Source organism: Homo sapiens (assembly GCF_000001405.40).
Source record: "Homo sapiens chromosome 14 unlocalized genomic scaffold, GRCh38.p14 Primary Assembly HSCHR14_CTG6_UNLOCALIZED".
NCBI lineage: Eukaryota > Metazoa > Chordata > Mammalia > Primates > Hominidae > Homo > Homo sapiens.
Window position 1 is genome coordinate 8,619 of NT_187379.1, and position 21,773 is coordinate 30,391.

General features: G+C 42.2%; 1 pseudogene; it reads right to left on the bottom strand.

The window, feature by feature from the left end:
- Window positions 1-17,643: 17,643 nt before the first annotated feature.
- Window positions 17,644-20,206, bottom strand: LOC102723312 (angiogenic factor with G patch and FHA domains 1-like; annotated as a pseudogene).
- Between the last annotated feature and the right edge of the window lie 1,567 nt (window positions 20,207-21,773).

A 21,773-nucleotide genomic window follows, 5' to 3' on the forward strand; every position in this document is an offset into this window, starting at 1 on the left:
TTTAGAGATACAGAAGTGGTTGTCACCTCTCTGTGGAACCCAGCTCCATACCTGGTCCTTGCCACACAGCCCTTTCTACAGAGAATAGCTCTGGGGCGTTTGAGGATCCCTATGGCCCTGGGTGGCTTCCTGTCCCCCGCTGCCTGTGCTGCTTCCCTTGCCTGCTGTCAGAGCCCAACATGGAGGAGGAGGTTGCAGCCCTGGGAGCCTGAGGGAGCTCTTCCCTTGCCTGCTGGCAGAGCCCAACATGGAGGAGGAAGTTGCCGCCCTGAGAGCCTGAAGGAGCTGTGTCTGACTGGGGCTTCTGCCTGGGGGTTTGCAAAGAGCTACTTATGAATATAGTCTCTCCAGATTCCTTGTTTCAAAGGAAGTGAGCATGAGCTAGCAAGTGTAGCAACCCCACAGCTGATAAACAACTTTGTCTTGGTTTTAAACCATCACATCTTCATTTCACATTGGAATAAAGTAAGTGAAACCTGCTACCGCAGCCTTGCCCATGTGTTCTGTAACCCAGTCTCCTTTGGTTGTGAGGGCTGTTGTCAGTAATGTTATAGAAAAGATTATGCATAAATTAAATCAAATGTAAAATTATGCTTATAATGTCACTTGAGTGAAAGGTAAGAGGGTAGCGTCACAGGCACTCAGCTGGGGTTTACCCACCCATCACTTACCACGCTCATGAGAGTGTGGCACAGGTGAATGTCACCTGACATTGGTGACAGAAGAGAAAAGGCCGGCATGAAGGCCAGGTAGGGGAGAGGTGCCAGACTGTGGGGCCAGGCCCTAGACATGCTGGACCTGTGAGGTCACTGAACATCTAACTGCCCAGGCACTGGCCCTTTTCACATCAGTTGAGGTAAGAGGATGGGGGAGCACTCTCTGGAAGTCACACTGCGCTGGGAGAATGGAGGAGAGTCTACAACTCACCATCCTAGTGTAGGTTTTAGAGTGAGATTGGCTGTCTTGGAGAGCTAATGAGATGGGAGGAAAGCAGTCCCCCAGGTGCATCTGAGGGCCACAGCCTATGAAGTAAGCAGTGTGTGTGGGAGTGGCCTGTCCCTGTGAGAGGAGAAGTTTAAAGCTATTACAGCTGGTGGCTGCTGCTCAGCCATCCCTCTGCAGAGCAGGCAGGTCCTCAGCTGCATGTATATCTGAATGTCTTTTGGAGTGTTTAGAGGGTCCTCTATGTCTTAGAAATTTTGAAAAGAAAAACAAATTTCAATTCTAATGTTTATTAGTTTCCCTGAGCCAATTGGAAAAAAAATGTCCTTCACCTCGAAGTTTTAAGTGACACCCAAGGGTAGCCACCAGTGTCTCAGCCACTGAAGCCTTGTGCATGCTCCCACTACCAGTTTGATTTGCAGCCTCATGGTTGTGTTGTACTAAATGTTCTTTCTTCTGGCCTTGTCCAGTGAAAACGGTTCACATGGCTAACACGACTTCTTGAGATACGGGCACCATGTAAAGCTGAGAAAGGATTGGGTTTAGTTACTATTGTGCTTCCTCCTCTCCCGAGAGGCCCATTTTTCCTGCTTTATTCATTAAGTGTACTAGTGCTGTCAGTCACCTTTGGACAACTCAAATGACAAGTGGCTGTTGTTTCATAAAGAAAATGAAGGCTTTAGATGTGAAACCCTCCTTTTCTCTTCTGCTTCTCTTAGGTGAAAGACTTTATTTTTTTAAAAAGGGTACATAATGGTATCCCAGCAGGTGTAGTGTGATAACTGGCATGTTCTAGGCTATGGTTTCAGTGTGTATGGGCAATTCTTCAAGATGGAAAACGAAGTTTCACTGATTTGCTGGAGCCGCACTCACCTTTCTCCACATCCCCCACCATGGGCTTTCACTTTTCTCCCGGGCTTGAAATTTTCACATCCATATTGTTTATACACACACACACACACACACACACACACACACACATCTTTCTGTCAGTGCAGTGGCTGAATCATGGGTCAGTGCAGCCTCAAACTCTTAGGCTCGAGTGATCCTTTCACATCAGCTTCTCAAATAGCGAGGACTACACTACAGGCATGCAATGCTACACCCAGCCAATTGTAAAATTTTTTTTGTAGAGGGTGAGCCTACTTATGTTGCCCAAACTCGTCTTGAACTCATAGGATCCAGCAATCATCCCACTTTGGCCTCCCAAATTGTTTACATTACAAGTGTGAGCTACCAAACTCAGCCAAAAATATTTTTTAAAGAACAGTTACAACCAAATTATGAGTTATGATTGTGCCACTGCCCTCCAGCCTGGGCACCAGAGCAAGACCTAGTATCCAAAAACAAAGCAAAACAAAACAAGAACAAAAAACCTTATAACCAAATTAAACTTCGAAGATTGTGTCATCTGTGTCCCTCTCTGCCCTCCAGTTATCACCGTTAAATGTAACGGTTATTGAGAAAACGGTTAAATATTATTAAGAAATTTCTATATCTACTCCAGCTGAGAATAGGTATTCTGATGTGGCCAAAACATTTTCTCACTGCTACCTTCAGGGTCTAAACTAGCAAACCAAATCAGGACACCTGCAGAGGACACTTGGCCATTTTCAAATAGAAACAGAAACACCCCCATTAATGAGAGTAATCCAGTGATTTTCAAAAAGTCAAGTCAGACTGACATGCAGCACAGTCAGGGCACAATTACACTGGAATAATCACTTAACACAGAATGGTTGTGGAGCCTTTCTAAGATGAGCAAATATGGGCAACATCATTCTTGCTTATTTATTCCCAGCCCCTGCTGCCCGCCTTATTCTGGCCTGATTCTGGCCCGCCTGATAATGGCCACCCTACGATGTGGTCAGCAGTGAGGTGCAGCATGGTGAGAGAGGGGCTCAGGGATGGGATGAGGGTCTTTCCTACATTATGAAAATGCCTAATAAGTTGTTAAAAAGATGTCCAAATGTTCTACTTCCTACCCTTAAATAGCTGCTAAGATGCATGACTCAACAGATCCTGGTAAGGGAAAGAGCATGCGCATTTCAAGTCTCAGCTCACTTCTTAATTAGCTGTGATACTCTGGGCATGTGACCCCAACTATTCGAGCCTGTTTGCCTGTCCACCCAAGACAATCCTAAGCAAAAACAACAAAGCTGGAGGCATCATGCTACCAGACTTCAAACTATACTTCAAGGATACAGTAACCAAAGCACCACGGTACTGGTACCAAAACAGATATATAGACCAATGGAACAGAACAAAGACCTCAGAAATAACACCACACATCTACAACCATCTGATCTTCGACAAACCTGACAAAAACAAGCAATGGGGAAAGATTTTCTATTTAACAAATGGTGCTGAAAAAACTGGCTAGCCATAAGCAGAAAACAGAAACTGCACCCCTTCCTTACACCTTAAACATTATCTCAAGATGGATTAAAGTCTTAAATGTAAAACCCCAAACCATAAAATCCCTAGAAGAAAACCTAGGCAATACCATTCAGGACATAGGCATGAGCAAAGACTTCATGACTAAAATACCAAAAGCAATTGCAACAAAAGCCAAAATTGACAAATGAGATCTAATTAAAGAGCTTCTGCATAGCAAAAGAAGCTATCATCAGAGTGAAAAGCAACCTACAGAATGAGAAAATTTTTGCAATCTATCCATCTGACAAAGGTCTAACATCCGGAATCTACAAGGAACTTAAACGAATTCACAAGAAAAAAAAACCCCATCAAAAAGTGGGCAGAAGATATGAACAGACCCTTCTCAAAAGAAGATATTTGACTGAGTGTGGTGGCTCACACCTGTAATCCCAGCACTTTGGAAAGTGGAATCAGGTGGATCATGAGGTCAGGAATTTGAGACCAGCCTGGCCAAAATGGTGAAATCTCATCTCTACTGAAAACACAAAAAATTAGCCAGGCATATTGGCAGGTGCCTGTAATCCCAGCTTCTTGGGAGACTGAAGCAGGAGAATCACTTGAACCCGGGAAGCAGATGTTGCAGTGAGCCAAGATCCTGCCACTGCATTCCAGCCAGGTTGACAGAGCAAGACTTTGTCTCAAAGAAGAAGAAGAAGGAGAAGAAGAAGGAGAAGAAGGAGAAGAAGAAGGAGAAGAAGGAGAAGAAGAAGACATTTATGTGGCCAACAAATATTTAAAAAAAAATCTCATCATCACTGGTTATTAGAGAAAGGCAAATTAAAATCACAATGAGATACCATCTCACGCCAGTTGGAATGGCTATTACTAAAAAGTCAAGAAACAACAGATGCTGGTGAGGCTGTGGAGAAATAGAAACGTTTTTACACTGCTGAAGGGAGTGTAAATTAGTTCAACCATTGTGGAAGACAGTGTGGTGATTTCTCAAGGATCTACAAGCAGAAATACCATTTGACCCAGCAATCCCATTACTGGGTATATATCCAAAGGAATATAAATCATTCTACTATAAAGACACATGCACATTTACGTTTATTGCAGCACTGTTTACAATAGCAAAGACTTGGAACCAACCCAAAAGCCCATCAATGATAGAGTGGAAAAAGAAAATGTGGCACATATACACCATGGAATACTATGCAGCCATAAAAAAGAATGAGTTCATGTCCTTTGCAGGGACGTGAGTGAAGCTGGAAACCATTTTCCTCAGCAAACTAACACAGGAAACAGGAAACCAAACACCATATGTTCTCACTCATATGTGGGAGTTGAACAATGTGAACACATGTACACCGGAAGGAAACATCACACGCTGGGGCCTGTTAGGGGGTTGGGGTCAAGGAGAGGGAGAGCATTAGGACAAATATCTAATGCATGTGGGGCTTAAAACCTAGATGGCAGGTTGATAGGTGCAGAAAACCACCATGGCACATGTAAACCTCTGTAACAAACCTGCACGTTCTGCACATGTATCCCAAAACTTGAAAAACAAAGAAACAAACAAAAATGCACTAACGCTCAGGGTGAGTGGGGTAGGGGCTGGGGTGAGGCGCGGGTGGGTGGGTCCTGGCGTTTTATTCAATCAGTGGCGCTTGTGTGGGAACCACCCAATAAGGTGCGCAGTTTGAGAAGAGAGGAGGGCGTGGCTTCTGGCGTTTGGCGGGGCCTTTGTCTCTCGCTGATGCTGGTGCAGGAGCCTGGGATCCATCTCTTCTTTGGCCTCCTCCACCTTGGGAAATCCAGACAACTCCCTCACAGCCCCTATTGCCCTGTGATCTGTAGGTCCTTGGGGACGCATAGTTAAGTGCTGTTACCATGGGGCGGTCCTTGCTCCCAGAGCTCCCAAGATGGTGGCAGGCCACTTCCATAATTTTGGCAGGCCACTTCCAAGATGGTGGCAAGCCTCCTGTTCTCTGACCTGGGGCTCTTGGCCTCACGGATTCCAAGGAATGGAATCTTGAGCCATGCGGTGAGTGTTAAAGCTCTATTAGAAGCTGTGGGTCACGGAAGAGAACCGTGGAACCCAGTGACTAGTGTTCAGCTTGATTAGGATGAACCCAGGCACTTAGCCATGCAGGAACAATGGCGAGCCTTTAGCCCTATTGGGAGTGGCAATGGGTGCCTCGCTGGATCAGGAGCACAGCGGACACCTTGCTAGCCAGGATGGTCTTGATCTCCTGACCTCATGATCCGCCCGCCTCGGCCTCCCAAAGTGCTGGGATTACAGGCGTGAGCCATTGCGCCCAGCCAAGAACTGTCTTCACAACAATTGGTGCTGGGGAAATTATATACCCACATGTAAAAGAATGAACCTGGGCCCTTCACTTATACTGTAAGAAAAAATTAACTAACTGGATCAAATACCTAAATGTAAGAGCTAAAACTACAAAATTCTTAGAATAAAATATAGGGGAAACACGTCATAACACTGGATTTGGCAGTTTTCTTTTTTAAACAGGACACCCAAAACACAAGAAACAAAAGAAAAATAGACGAATAGGAATCTATACAGAATATACAAAGAACAATTCAGCAACAATAAAACAAACTACTTGTTTAAAATATTGGCAAAAACTTAAGCAGACATTTCTCTAAAAATTATGTAAAGTGGCTTATAAGCACATGAAAAGACGCTCAACAAAACTCATCATTAGTGAAATGCAAATCTAACCCCAAATGACATATCACTTAACATCCATCAGCATAACTACTAACAAAAGAAAAAAAAACAGAAAATCAGAAGTGTTGGTGAGGACGTGGAGCAATTAGAATCCTTGTACACTGTTGGTGGAAATGTAAAATGCTGCAGCTGATATAAAATAACAACACAGTAACTAAAAAATTTACACATAAAATCACCATACAATCCAGCAATTTCACATCTGGGTATGCAGCAAAAGATATGAAAGCAAAGACACAAAATAATACACATACACCTAGGTTCATAGCAGCATTACTCACATCACCAAAAAGGTGTTTGAATTACTCAAATGTTGTTTGAATTACCATCAATGATTAATAGATAAAATGTGATTTATACATACAGTGGAATGTTATTCAGCTACGTAAAATAAGGAAATTCTGACACATGGTACGTCATGCATGAACGTTAAGGACATTGTCCAAAGTGACATGAGCCAGTCATAAAAGGACAAATACTGAATCATTCCACTTATGAGATACTTAGAGTAGTTAAATTCTAGATACCCAAATAGAAGAGTGGTTCCTAGGAGCTAGAGGGGGAGTAACAAGGAGCTTATTTAATGGGTATAGAGTTTTGTTTCTGCAAGTTGAAAGAAGGTCCCTATGAGTGGTAATGACAGTTGCAAAACTATGTGAAAGTAGTTAATTTTTCTGAGCTGCACACTTAAAATAGCTAAAATGGTTAATTTTATGTATACTTTACCACAATGTAAAAAATAATTTTTAATTAAACTATAGCTATCTGCAATATCATGAATTAATATCATAAATATAATGTTGCATAGAAGAAAGTAGATGTAAAAGTATACATATTACACAATCTCACTTATATAAAATCCAAAAAGTGAACACAACTGAGCTTCTGGCGTCCAGTAATAATGAAGTAAAGTAGTTTGTTGAACACTTCACAGATAACTATAACAAAGCTCTTTGGTCACAGGGCTGCAGCACTGCAATCCCAGCATGCACCAGGCTCAGGGAGAGTGCGCTAATCACTGGAGGAAGGGACGAGGCTCCACGCGTCTCGCTGGTCTTGCTGGGAGATGCAGTCTCATAAACACTCCCAGCCCTTTGGTCACAGGGCTGCAGCACTACAATTCTAGCATGCACTGGGCTCCGGGAAAGTGCGCGTCACTGGAGGAAGAGGCAGGGCTGTGCGCGCCTCCCTAGGATTGTTGGAAGATGCATTCTCATAAACACTCCCAACCCTTTGGTCAAAGGGCTACAGGACTACAATCCCAGCATGCACCAGGCTCCAGGGCAAGGCACAGCCCTGGAAGAAGGGGCAGAGTGGTTCCCGCCCCACCTAATATGCTGGGAGCTGTAGTCCATTAACTACTCTCAGCCTGTTTGTCGGTAAGCTTCAGAGCTATAATCCCAGCATGTACCGGGATCCGGGGTCCATAGCCCTGGAGGGAGGGGCAGAGCGGTGTGGACTTCCCGGTGTCCAAAGCACTGCTGAGTTCTGATGCTATGCCGACTCTTTGCAAGGAGAGTGACTACAGAGGTGCACCTGGAGGGCAGGTCTGGGCTGAGCATTGAGGAGGGTATTACCCTACAAAGATACCTTACCTTTTCCCAAATCGGGTGGGTTGTCCTCACCCACTTGGCCCTATCCTTCTCAGGTTCCTCTTTCAGTTGCACCCAGGGTTCTTTCCAGAGCAGTACGTCTTCTGCAGCCCAGGGTGCTGCCTTCTTTCCTAAACTGCGTGAGAACTTTCCTGATGTCCAAGACACTGTCCGTTGTGCCGCAGCCCTCTTTTTTCTCTAGCCAGAGCACACACTCAACCGTTTTTGAGAAAAATCTTCCACCTGGCCTGCTTGTGAGCAGCTTCAGAGCTCTGCAGGGGTGACAAAGGCTGTGGCTTCCTGGAAAGGTCACTCTCAATGGCGCCTTTTTCACGAATGTGAAAGTCTAGGCATCAGAAAGGTTAATTATTGGGTTGCATAAAATCTGCTAAGAGCAAAGGAAAAACCCCATTTCTGAGGCGTGAGCCTTGTGAGCCATTTTCATCAACCCACTTAAGTGGACAAGCTCCAAAATGCAACCTGAAGCTACTGACTATTTAGGCATTTTACACTTGAAATAATTGGTCTCATCTCAAGTCAGGCCTAGCTTGCCAGTGGCTCAGAGCCACAGATGGGCTACAGCATCCCCACACTATCAGAGTCTTCTGTAGAATCTAAGCTTGTTTCACCTCCTCCTTATGCTCCTTTCTATCGGCCTTTGCCAGGTACAATAGAGACCAGCCCAGCTGCAGTTACTCACAGTGGGACTTCACACCATCCAGGGCCAGAGAAATTGCTCCCCTTAAAGAAAGTCCCAAATGGAGAGAGGATCATCAGAGTGCTTGTTCTACTCTCAATAAACGATCTCATCCAATATAAGCAACAACTTTGATGGCCCTCAGACAACTTCAGCGCATTAACTGAAGGCTTCCAGGCTCTAACTTTGACCACCATTCAACTGTACCATCCAGAAATGGACCGAATGACTGCTGCCAACTTAGCTGCACAAAATTTTGCCTATTAGCAAAAAATAGAAAATACTTAAAACGTTTGTTGCTTTCACCATTTTAATGCAAAATACTTTTGCAGCATAAATGTCACCATAAGGTGGAGCCTTGGGAATCCAGTATAAACTATCTCAGAAAACCTCAATGGGTCCACAACAAGCAGCAGAGGGCCTCAATAGACTTCAACAACGTCTGGACTCCATGGCCACTGTAGTCCGACAAAAGCAAAGAGCCTGGGATCTTCTCCCAGCCAGGCAAAGAGGAACATGTTTATATCTAAAAGAAGAATGCTGTTTTTGAGATCAATCAGCCCGGTTTAGTCCAAGAAAATATTAATAATATCATCACCCAGGCAGACAAAATTGAATCTCTAGGAACTTCCATGGGACCATGAAAGCAATGTCTATTACCTGCCTTACTCTCTTTAATAGTAACAGCCATTACTATAATTTCAGGTTTTACTTTTGTTCCAATGTTGTTTAAAATGTGAACTGATTTCTTGCTCTCTTGCTTACAGCAACTCCATGTTTGCATGATGGTTTTGCAAGGCTTTCAACATTTGGCTGCCAACATCTTCCCCACTGGTTCCACGAATTACATGGTTTACAGCCAGTTAGATCACACAGGAAGAAACTTTAGGGCCCAGACTAGGCAGAAATAACACCCACTCAGCAGGAAATAGCTCCAGAAAAAGTAACCTAGCCCCTCAACCTCCAATATGATTATGACCCTAAGATCTCTTAGGGGGAAGCTGAGGCAGAATAGATCAGAATAGATAGTCAAGAAAATGACCATGATCTCGGGATACAGAAATGTGGGGAAAAGAAAGAGAGATCAGACTGTTACTGTGTCTATGTAGAAAGAAGTAGACATAAGAGACTCCATTTTGCTCTGTACTAAGAAAAATTCTTCTGCCTTGAGATGCTGTTAATCTGTAACCCTAGCCCCAACCCCATGCTCACAGAGACTTGTGCTGTGTCAACTCAAGGTTTAATGGATTTAGGGCTATGCAGAATGTGCTTTGTTAAAAAAGTGCTTGAAGGCAGTATGCTTGTTAAAATTCATCACCACTCTCTAATCTCAAGTACCCAGGGACACAATACACTGTGGAAGGCCGCAGGGACCTGTGCCTAGGAAAGCCAGGTATTGTCCAAGGTTTCTCCCCATGTGATAGTCTGAAATATGGCCTCCTGGGAAGGTAAAGACTTGACCATCCCCCAGCCTGACACCCATAAAGGGTCTGTGCTGAGGAGGATTAGTAAAAGAGGAAGGCCTATTTGCAGCTGAGATAAGAGGAAGGCATCTGTCTCCTGCTCATCCTTGGGCAATGGAATATCTCGCTGTAAAACCTGATTGTATGTTCTATTTACTGAGATAGGAGAAAACTGCCCTAGGGCTGGAGTTGAGACATGCTGATGGCAATACTGTTTTTAATGCACCGAGATGTTTGTATACATGCACATCAAGGCACAGCAACTTTTCTAACTTTATTTATGACACAGAGACATTTGTTCACATGTTTTCCTGCTGACCCTCTCCCAACTATTACCCTATTGTCCTGCCACATCCCCCTCTCCAAGATGGTAGAAATAGTGATCAATAAATACTGAGGGAACTCAGACCAGTGCCAGCGTGGGTCCTCTGTATGCTGAGCGCCAGTCCCCTGGGCTCACTTTTCTTTCTCTATACTTTGTCTCTGTGTCTCTTTCTTTTCTCAGTCTCTCATTCCACCTGATGAGAAACAACCACAGGTGTGGAGGGGCAGGCCACCCATTCATTGAAACTGTGGTAACTGTACAGCCAAGACAACGAGCCTTAGCATTCACATTGTAATTGGGCTCATTCAAGCAAAGCTATCTTCATTAAGGACTTTCTGTTCTAGAGAGCATGTGCATTTTGATTTTACCTGTCCTCAAACTTAACTTTTGCTTATTTTAATAGCAAAAAATACACTCCCCAGCTGGGTACGGTGGCTCACACCTGTACTCCCAGCACTTTGGGAGGCTGAGAAGAATGGATCACTTGAAACCAGAAGCTCAAGACTAGACTGGCCAACATAGTGAAAGCCCATCTCAACTAAAAATACAAAAATTAGCCAGGTATGGTGGTGCATGCCTGTAATCCCAGCTACTCAGGAGGCTGAGGCACGAGAATGGCTTGAACTTGGGAGGGAGAGGTTGCAGTGAGCAGAGATTGCACCACCACACTCCAGCCTGGGCAACAGAGCGAGACTCTGTCTCAAGCAAACAAACAAAAATACACTCCTGGCTAGAGGTCTAAGATGCTAATGAGACATGCAAAATATGAGTAAGCATGTACAGCTACTGCACATGTGCACCCAGAAGACCACTCAGAACAGGCTTACTAGCAGCTCCTCTTCCCCCCTCATTATTAATAATAATATAAAACTCCCATAAGGGGGTTTCTCTAGCGACAATCCACGTTGTCTCACTCTTATGAGCAGCCCGCCCTGGAATATCTCTCTCATGGTGTACTGTATTCTGCACTTAACTTTCAAATTTGTTTTCTTTTCCAATAAATTATGCTGTACTTCTTTTCTGTGTGTCTCTTGTTTAAACTATTATAAACTAAGAAGACAAGGACCGAGGTATTACATCAGCTCTCAACACAGCAATAAATCAGCCTCCTTCCTGTGGGCATAGTCCATGCAGAAAAGGAGTCACATCACCTAGGTGCTGGACCCAGAGATACATCACAATTTATCCTATGCACAAAGTTAAGGGGATAGAGGAGAGTCATATTAGTTTCTGGCCCAGGGATATGTCACAATGGCTCCTGTGAGCAGAGATCAGGCAGAATAATCACATAACGGTTGTGCTGGATACAGCGATAAACCACACTTTCATCTGTGGGAACGACCCAGGCAAGAAAGAAGAGTCACAGCATTTAGGTGCTTGCTGCAGAGGTACATAACAATATCTCTTATGGGCAAAGCCCAGGAAAGAGAGGAGAGTCACATCTCCAAGGTACTAATGTAGAAATATGTCACAAAAACTTTTTAGGCAGGGCCCATGCTGGATCTTCTTATCTTCCAGATGTTAGGTGCAGGGATATGTCAGAATACCCAAAATACACAGGGCTTAGTCAAAAAAGGAAAGCCACATCACCTAGGTTCTGGGTCTAGACATATATCACGTCTCTTTTATGGGAAAACCTCAGGTGAAAAAGCAGTTCACATCAAATAGTTGTTAGGCAGAGAGACATGTCACGTTGCCTCCTGCTAGGCCAAAGACTCACATCTTCTTGGTGCTAGGCCCGTGTTCATGTATAAATATTCAACCAGAGATGAAATGGTGGCTCATTTATAAACGCAGCTTATAGGCAAGGGAGGACTCCCCTATCCTGACCTAGTTAATTGTAATGACGTTGACTCTCATACCCGGGCTTAATGCCACAGCTATGATCATGGGTCCCTACCAGCAGGAAGGTCTCAAAGTTGATTGCAACTGTCATTCATACTGTATAGCGCCATTGGGTAGTACACAGAGAGTGCTAACTGGGTCGAGCACACAGGTGAGACTGTGGAACTCATATGCACACCCAGCCAACAGTAAATATTCTCATCCTCTCACAGGAACACAGGTCACTGTTGAGGTGCTGAATCTCACACCTGTAGTCAGCCAAAGGTGGGAAAAATTGACTTATATATGGATATATATGTCCATATATATCCATGGGTTGGTGACTCTCAGACCAAGATTCAGCACAACTGTGAGGCTGTGACTTCACTAAGGTGACACAGTCTGCAGAGGAATTGAGGCTCTCATGCACAAATCCAGTCTGGTGTTGAGATGGTTACTTGTGGGCTTAGACCCAACATACAAGAGGTGTTGAATGTCATGCCTACAACTGTGACAGTTGTGGGATTGTTAATCTTATTCCCGGACCATTCTGCAGGTTTCATGATGAAATTTCCCAGTGCCTAGCACCTGAGTGACTTGACGCTCTTGCATGGACCCAGCCCACAGATGGGATATTAACATATTGCTGGATCCACCACCTTGAGGGTGCAACTGTATTCTCCTTCCTTGGCACTGCCCACAGTGAGCATTTTGACATATTGCTAGACCGTGCACCCAGGTGATGTGAGTCTCCTCTTCCACCTTAGCCTGCCCACAGGAAGCATTGTTCTATATAGCATGGCCTGGCACCCAGGTTATGTGACTCTCCAGCTTGTGCCTATATGGGACACTGTGGTATATTGCTGGGTCCACTACCCAGGTGATGTAACTCCTCTGCCTGGGCCCTGACTGCAAGGGGCATTGTGACAGATCTCTGTGCTCACTGGCCAGGTAATGTGATTCTCTTTTCCTGTCTGGTCCCTTTACACAGAAGAGATTGTGACAACTTGGGCTTAGCACCAAGTTGATGTGAATCTTCTGCCTGGATCAAGTTCACAGAAGGCCTTGTGACATACCTCTGTGTCCACTACCTATTTGATGTGACTCTCCTCTCTTACATGAGCATTGCCTATAAGAGAGATTGTGACATATCTTTGGGCCAAGCACCAGGATGATGTGACTCTTCTCCCTGCCTCGGTCATGCCCACAAAGGGAAGTGTGACTTATAACTGGGCACAGCACACAGGTGAAGTGATTCTTCTGCATGGTCCCTACCTACAGGAGTCATTGTCAAATACCTCTGGGCCCATCATCTAGACTATGTGACTCTCTAGTTCTTCCTAGGGCCTGCTCACAGTAAGGATTATGACATATTACTTTGCCCAGTACCTACATGATGTGACTTTTCTCTCATGTCTGGGCTCCATCTTGGAGATGAATGTGACACACAGCTAGGCCTGTCCCCTAGGTTATGTAACTTCTCCTTTTTCAAAATCCTACTCACCAGGGGCATTGAAACATCTCTCTGCGCACTTCACTTAGGTAATGTTACCCTGTTGCCTGGAGCCTCCCCTCAGGGGGTATTGTGACACATTGCTGGACCCAGTACCTATGTGATATGCTCTCCTTTCTTGCCTGGGCCCTGTATACATTGTGTATTGTAATATATGGCTGGGTTCAATGACTAGATGATGCAATTCTTACGCATAGGCCCTACCCACAGGGACATTGTGACATTTCTTTAGCTCTGACTCTCCTCTTCTGCCTTAGCCCTGCCAAAAACAGAGGTGGTGAAATATAACTGGACCTAGCAACCAGCTAATATGACTCTCATCTTTTGCCTGCACCGACATATTTTGGGTATTGTGACATATCATTTATCTCAACACCTGCAGGATGAAAGGCTCCTTCCTGAGCCCAGCCATCAGTAAAAATTGTCATTCTCCCACATGGACACAACCCATAATTGAGGTTCTGAATCTCACACCCAGAGGCAGTCAAAAGTTGGAAAGTTGGCTCTCATAAGTGGATGTTGTCCACAAGTGGGTTTGTGAATCCCTGAACAAGATCCAAAACACTTGTGAGGCTGTGACTCCACTAAGATAACTCAATTTTCGAAAGGCATTAAGCCTCTCATGGAAAAATCCATTCCACCATTGAGATTGTGACTTATGTACATGGACCCAACATACAGGAGGCCTTGACTCTCATACCCAGAACTGGCACTTACGTGGGATTGTTAATCTCACCCAGGGACCTTACTGCAGGTGTGATTCTGACGTACACCTCTATGTGGGATTGTTAATCTCACCCAGAGAACTTCCTGCAGGTGTGATTCTGACGTACACTTCTATGTGGGATTGTTAATCTCACCCAGGGATCTTCCTGCAGGTGTGATTCTGACGTACACCTCTATGTACATTGCAGTGAGCCGAGATCGCACCACTGCACTCCAGCCTGGGCGATAGAGTGAGATTCCCCCCCCACCCAAAAAAAAGAGGCAATGACGTTGCTTCCTGCCTCTGCCTGAAGTTAGGGGTCTCTGACCTCTGCTGGCACCTAGCAGTCAAAGTGGATGGGGTCAGGGGTCAACTCTCAGCCAAGCACAGGGCCCTTCCCCTCTTGCTACCCCACACAGGTGAAGCTGCTGGTCATGGCTAACCTGGAGCTGCTCTGTGTCCCACAGTTCCCTGCTGAACCAGTAATATTTATGGGGCACAGTGTGATGTTTCACTGCGTCATACTATATGGTACAGTGAGATGCAGTGAAACATCACATTGTACTCTGTAAACATATGTAACTATCATGTGTTAATTACGTGATACTTCACTGCATCATACTACACGGTACAGTGAGATGCAGTGAAACATCACATTGTACTCCACAAACGTGGACAATTATGTTAATTATATGATGTTTCACTTCATCACACTGTACCACATACACTGTACAGTGATCCAACCAGAGTAATTAGCATATTTAACACTTCAAACATTTATTTCCTTGTGCTAATAAAGTTCAAAATCCTCAATTCAAGCTATTATAGAATAAAAGGTACATTATTATTAGCTATAGTCATCATGCTGTGTAATAGAACACCAGGATTTATTCTTCCTAACTGTAACTTTGTAACCCAGTGACAAAGCTCTCCCCACTCCCTCATCCTTCTGCCATCACTAACCTCTGGTAACCACCATCCTACTGTCTACTTCTATGACATGGACTTCTTCAGATTTCAAGTGAGTGAAAGCACGTGGTCTTTTTCTTTCTGTGCCTGGCTTATTCCACTTAACATAATGTCCTCTAGGCTCATCCATGTTGACAAAAATGACAGAACTTCATTCTGTTTTATGACTGAACATTATTCCTGTGTGTGTGTGTGTGTGTGTGTGTATAACATTTTCTTTATTCATTCTGTAGATGGGCACTTATACACTGTTGGTAGGAATGTAAGTTAGTACAATCATTTCCCATTTCTATAGGGAGAACAGTATGGAGGTTTTTCAATAAATTATAAATAGAACTACCATATGATCCAGCAATCTCATTGCTGGGTTTATATCAAAAGGAAACAAATTAAGCACATCAAAAAAGAGAACTGCACTCTCATGCTTATTAAGCAGTATTCAAAATAACCCAAACCACTATTTCTTCTAAGTATTTCTTAATTTACCTTTTTTTTCATATATTACACCCTAAGCTTTTAAAGGTTTCATGTCTGGTTTCTAATTTCTGAAACTTACGAGTCACTGATTCTTTGTTGCCTTCCTATTTAGAGAGTCTGGTAAAACAATTAAATGCTTTTTATTTCTTCTCAATCTAATCTTCATATATAAATATATTTATATTTTCTATTAATTTGCCTTCTATAACATATATGACTACATTAATTGTGATCAGCATTTCACTTTACTAGCCCTCTTTTTGGCCCAGCCTATTTTAACATGTAATTTGTATGTTGTACATTAAATTGTTTTACAACACTTTCAATACTTTACTTTTCATTTGCCTCGTTTCCAAAGATAGCTTGACAAGCTCGTAGTTTCTTTCCACATTATTTTGGTTTCTTGTTTTTCCATTATATTGACTTAAACATTTAAATATAAATTCAATATCTGAGATTTATGTGCCATATAATTTCTTCTGATGCTTCACCTCAGTAGCTCATCTCCTTGTGTGCAACATAATTTATAATTTAATCCTCATATATGGGAGACACCGCATTCCAATGCCTGCAGGCAGTTTCTCTTTGTTTATTCCATTTGCCTCGTCAGAAGGGAACAACCCACATGGACTTGATGTTCTTGTAATCAGATGCGTCTGAGTGGTGCCCTGGCCTCTTAGGTTGATTACTTCTCTGGATCATTACCTTTATTTACTTCCAGTCCTGGGAGGTTTTCTTAATTTCCTTTCAACTATATTGGGCATTCTGTGAATTCTTGTAACTTCTTGGTGATTTTAATTGTCTGCATTAAGTGTTTAAAGTATATTATTTTTCTGAAAAGCAGAAATATCAATAATTGCATATATGAGTGAAATATTTTACATAGATTTTCTATGGCATCTATCACCATGAGAAATTCCAAGTTTTTTTCATTTGAAACACCCTCTCATCAATAGACCATACTGTAATAATTTGTAGAGTGTGATTACTTTTATACCATTAGAAAATTAATTATATATTATGTACATATTTTTGAAATACTCCACTGCAATAAATAGTATATGGTTAGAAGTATTGTTTTCTCTAACATAAAACTAATATGAGTAAAATTATCTACCTGAATTCAGACCTTTTGGCTTCAATGGCCATTCTGTCCCATTAGTACTTCTCTGATCCATAAAAGACATCATTTGTATTTTTTGTTTAATTCATAATTTATTGAAATGAGTAATTTAAGGTTATAATGTTTTATGGCAATTTAGGACATTTTCAATAAATATATTGAGCTCGAGGCCCTGGCTAAGTATTCCTTTTGTACTCAAAATCAGATTTTTCTGGCACAACTTTTCATTGCCTGCAATGGTATTTATAAAAAGTATGAATGCCAGCACATGGACTATTTCAATACTGTACTCATTTTTTCATGTATAAACATTTCATTAGCTATGAAACAAACCAAATACAAATGCTGAATGTACAGTATATATCAACAAATGCAGATTCTTCACCAAAGAAAACAATAAAAGACGAATTTTCTGTGACATGTCACCTGTTCATTAGTTCTTTAATATGATTTAGGCTATCCCAAATATAATAAAATGTATGCATCACTATTCATGTTGTCTCAACATTTTTTATCTAGGTCCTGAAGGACATAAAAAAGAATGTACATTGTCAGATTTATTTTTATAGATTTTAGATGTTTCTTTTGCTGTATTTTCTGTGCATACTACTATGAATATATGGAGACAAGGACAAATGAGCATTTAAGTGGTTATATGAATTTTGCTTATATGGCTAATTGCTTATATGGATGTTGTAAATGACCAGATAAAATAGTAAAGTTTGATAAACTTATCTGTACCCTGTGAACTTTAGTTCACTTACTGTATAACTTAATTCTGTCACTAATAATTAGTTTAAAAAGTGTTTTTTAAAAGCTGTAAACCACATTTTATTACACATTTCTGAATCAGGAAGGGGTAAACTGTGACCCAGCTTTCTTATACCACTGACTTTTTTGGGGAGAAACATTCTGCAATAAAATAAGAGTTTCCAAACTCTATTTATAAAAAAAGCTTGAGTTTTCTTCTGTGATTAACCTTCACTCCTCAGTCCCTTTTACCCAAGGAATGGTTCCTAGGTCATCTTTTGGAAGTTTAGTTTCTGGAAAGTTTTCAGCAAACCTCTCCTGAGCTTTGTCCCAGTTGTTGTTGTTCTTGTTTTGGAGAAGGTGAGTCTCTTTAACTGAGGATGGTTTGTCTGTCTCCAATCCTGCATGTGTTTGCCAAAGCTGAAGCTGTATTGGAGATTTTATTCTCCCACCATCCCTCCCCAGGCCTTCTCCTGTTTTCAACACATCTTTTTCAACATCTTCTGACCTTTGTCGCTATCAGTAATTTCAGAATGAACAGATGCAGGAGCATCATCTCTTCGGAAATTTCCTTCACTTCCAATCTGCTCCCTATGTTTTCCAGCTCTATCTTTATATTTTTGATTCTCCAGTATTTTATCATCTTTGTAATCTGTATTCTGTAAACCATATTTTACTCGTATATTTTTAAAATCCTTTTCGTCTTTCCAACTCGTTTCCTTCTTAGTTAATGATGGACCAACAAATGATTCATCTTTCTTATCAAGGAAAAGGTGAGCTCTAACCTGCCCTGGTTCACATCCAACACAGCTATTACTGCCAGGGTGAATGTAATAAGATAACACAGTGTCTCCAACTTTCACTTTATCTCCATGCTCAGGTTCATAATGGTCACATTTAGTTTTCAGCTGAACAATCCATTTTCCATTAACAAGTGTTCCATTTTGACTGCCTGATCCAAAAGGACATAACTTTGTAAGTCATGGTCAAAACAGATTTCTGCATGAAACTTACACCAACTTCAGGGATTCGAAGAGTATTCTTCATATCATTTTCTCTTCCAATTGTAGCAGGTTTTACAGCAGTAATGATGAAGAATGATCCTGTCTGTAACACAGGTGATCTCATGACAATTACTCTCGTATATGAGGGCCACAATTTTTCCTCATCTTCCTCCGCAGTATCTTTTGCAGTTGCATTGCCTTTACTGGTAATGCCTTCATCATAACTACCCTCGGTCTGAGAGTCCGTAATTTCACCTTCTTCTGGTTCACTATCAGTCTCTGTGATTTTCTCATCCTTAAAGATGAATTGAGATGTTTTCATTAAGAGGAGATTCTATAGGATTTCCACTAACTGGAACAGTGAATTTTGGGGATTATTTTTGTGATGAATGCCTATTTTAGCTTTTTTTTCCACATTTGTGAAATTGTCTTTCCCGTTGCAGCTTGTATGTTCAACACTGAAGGCTTCTTGATCCTCTGAATTCAAATCCTTTTCCTCATTGTTTTTTTGTAGAAGAATCTGGATCCTTTCTTTTCTCAATTTTTCATTTTTGTTTTGTGCTATAAGTCTGATAAGGTTGCAAATCTACTCGAGAATGAAATCGATAGCGACCACTTTCCACATCACAGTAGTAATAAATTAAATGATAATATATTTGATTCTCAGAATCTTAATAGAAACCAGTGCTGTGGTCAAAATACAGTCCAGTATTTTCATCATAACTAAATCCAGTCTGTGATAAAGCCGCTTCTGCTGCAGCTCTCAAACTTTCAGCTAATGACGAAACTTCTAAGGACGTATCTTGTGCTGCTAATGCAGATGCTGGCTCCTGTGAATTTGAGGCAAATGACCCTGTCTACACTTAACATTTGCTGTCCTATCAGTACCAGGGTGAGCATCATTTTTTTATTTATAACTTGTCGTTAGAATTCAAAGCAGGACTTTCAATATCCTGATCTTGCTGATTTGACAGTTCAGTCACTCACTTTATTTGGAAGACTAACATCATTACAGTAGATCTGATAATAATCTGAGATTGACCAAGGAGCATGGTTCTCTGTGAGTACTTCTACATCAGACTTTTATTATCTCCATTTCTCCCACAGCAGAGTACATTACTGAGCTTTTCTTCCAGCTGCGTGCAGAGCTCCTGGTGGTTGCTCGTGTCGCTCTGAGCAGCCGTCCTGTGCGAGGCCATAGCTTCTCCTGTTCCCGCACCTGCCGCCTGCAGCTCAGCGTTCGGGTTCCAGCTTCTCCGCCCTCCTTCTCCGCTGGGTCAGCTCGGGCTCGGGGAGGGGGAGGAGCGGTCACAGCGAAGGCGCTGGCGGCGGGTACGGGCAGAGGCCGCGAGTTCGGGCGCCAGACGGCTGCGGCCTTGGAGGGGCTGCGTGGGGCCGAAGCGGGGGCCGGCGGAGCCACAGCCACAGGGGCGCGCGGGCAGCCACAGGCAGCCTCCCCGGCCAGGAGGCCCCGAAACGCAGAGCCTAACGGGGCTGCGGCAAGAGCAAGGGAACGGTGATGGCCCTGCCGGATCTGCGTGCCTGGAATCCTGGGAACGACTGTACCTTCCCCAGCCACGGGGGCCGCAGGAGGAGCGTCGAAGTCCAGGGGCCAGAAGTGCTCCGGCCGTTCCCGAGTTGAGCTGGAAACAGTGGCCAAGCGTGTTTTAAATCGAGTTTCCATGTGGCTAGCTATGACCTGCTGGTTACTCTTATTTTTTTCTCCATTCGTTGAGCTATGATTGACTAATTGAAAAGCGTATATTTTTAGGGTGTACAATAGAGTGTTTGGAGATGTCAGTAGTCTTTAAATTACCTCAGTTAAGCTAGTTAGCCTATCTATCCCCTCACATAGTTAATACGTTCCTGTGTGTGTGGTGAGAGCACCTGAGATCTACTCTTGTAGCAAATTTCAAGTACGGAGTATTGTTAACTATAGTCACTATTCTGTACATTAGGTCCCCAGCAGTTACTCACCTTGTAACTGAAGGTGTGCCCCTTCCATGGATATCTCCCCAATTTCCCCACTTCCTAGCCCATGGGAAGCACGGTTCTACGGTTTCCATGGCTTTTTTAAAATTTTTATTTACTTTTTTAGATTTTACATACAAACGAGATCATGCAGTAGTTGTCTTTCTGTATTCGGCTTATTTCACTTAGCATAATGTCTTCAAGATTAATCAATATTGTTGTGGATGAAAGAGTTTCATTTTTATTAAAGCTGAAATTATGTATGTCTCAGTTTATCTGTATCAGAGGAGTGCAGATACCCTTGATGATCCTGATTTTATGTACTTTGGCTATATACTCCTAATTGGGATTAGTAGTAGTTCTAGTTTAAAAATTTTAAGGAACCTCCATACTGTTTTTCATAATAGCTGCACCAATTGACATCCTCAGCAACAGTGCACAAGTGTTCTCTTTTTCCACACCCTAACACTTTTTATCTTTTGACTTTTTGATAATAGGCATCCAAACACCACGATAAGGTGATACCTCATTGTGATTTTGTTTTTAATTACTCTGAAAATTAGTGATGTCGAGCATTTTTTATATACCTGCTGGCCATTTGTATATCTTTGGAAAAATTGCTATTTATATATTTTGCCCAATTATTAATCAAGAAATTGCTTTTAATTCTGCTGTGGGTTTTTTGTATTGATTAGTATGATGTATATTTTGGATAGTAACATATTACCCTATATATAGTTTACAAATATTTTCTCCCATTTCCTATAATGCCTTTATATTTTGCTGATTGTTTCCTTTGTTGTGCAGAAAATTTTAACTTTGACATAGTTCCACTTGTTCATTTTTGCTTTTGTTGACTGTTCTTGGTGTCATATCCAAAACATCATTGCCATGACCAGTGTCAAGGTTTTTCCCCATTTTTTAAGAGGATTCATGATTTCAGTTATTATGTTTAAGTCTTTATTTCATTTCAAATTCATTTTGTGATGACATGAGAGAAAGGTTCACTTTTTTCTGTGCATATCTAGTTTTTCCTACACCACTCCTTGATGTGTTTATCCTTTCTCCATTCTCTGGGATTGGTTGACTGTATATTTGTGAGTTTATTTCTGGGTCCTCTATTCTGTTCTATTGGTTTTTATGTAGGTACTATACTATATTGATGACTACAGCTTTGTAATATAGTTTGAAATCAGGAAGTGTAAGGCTTTCAGCCTTTTTGTTCTTCTCAGTATTTGGCTATTTGAGGTCTTTTGTGGTTCCATACTAATTTTAAAATT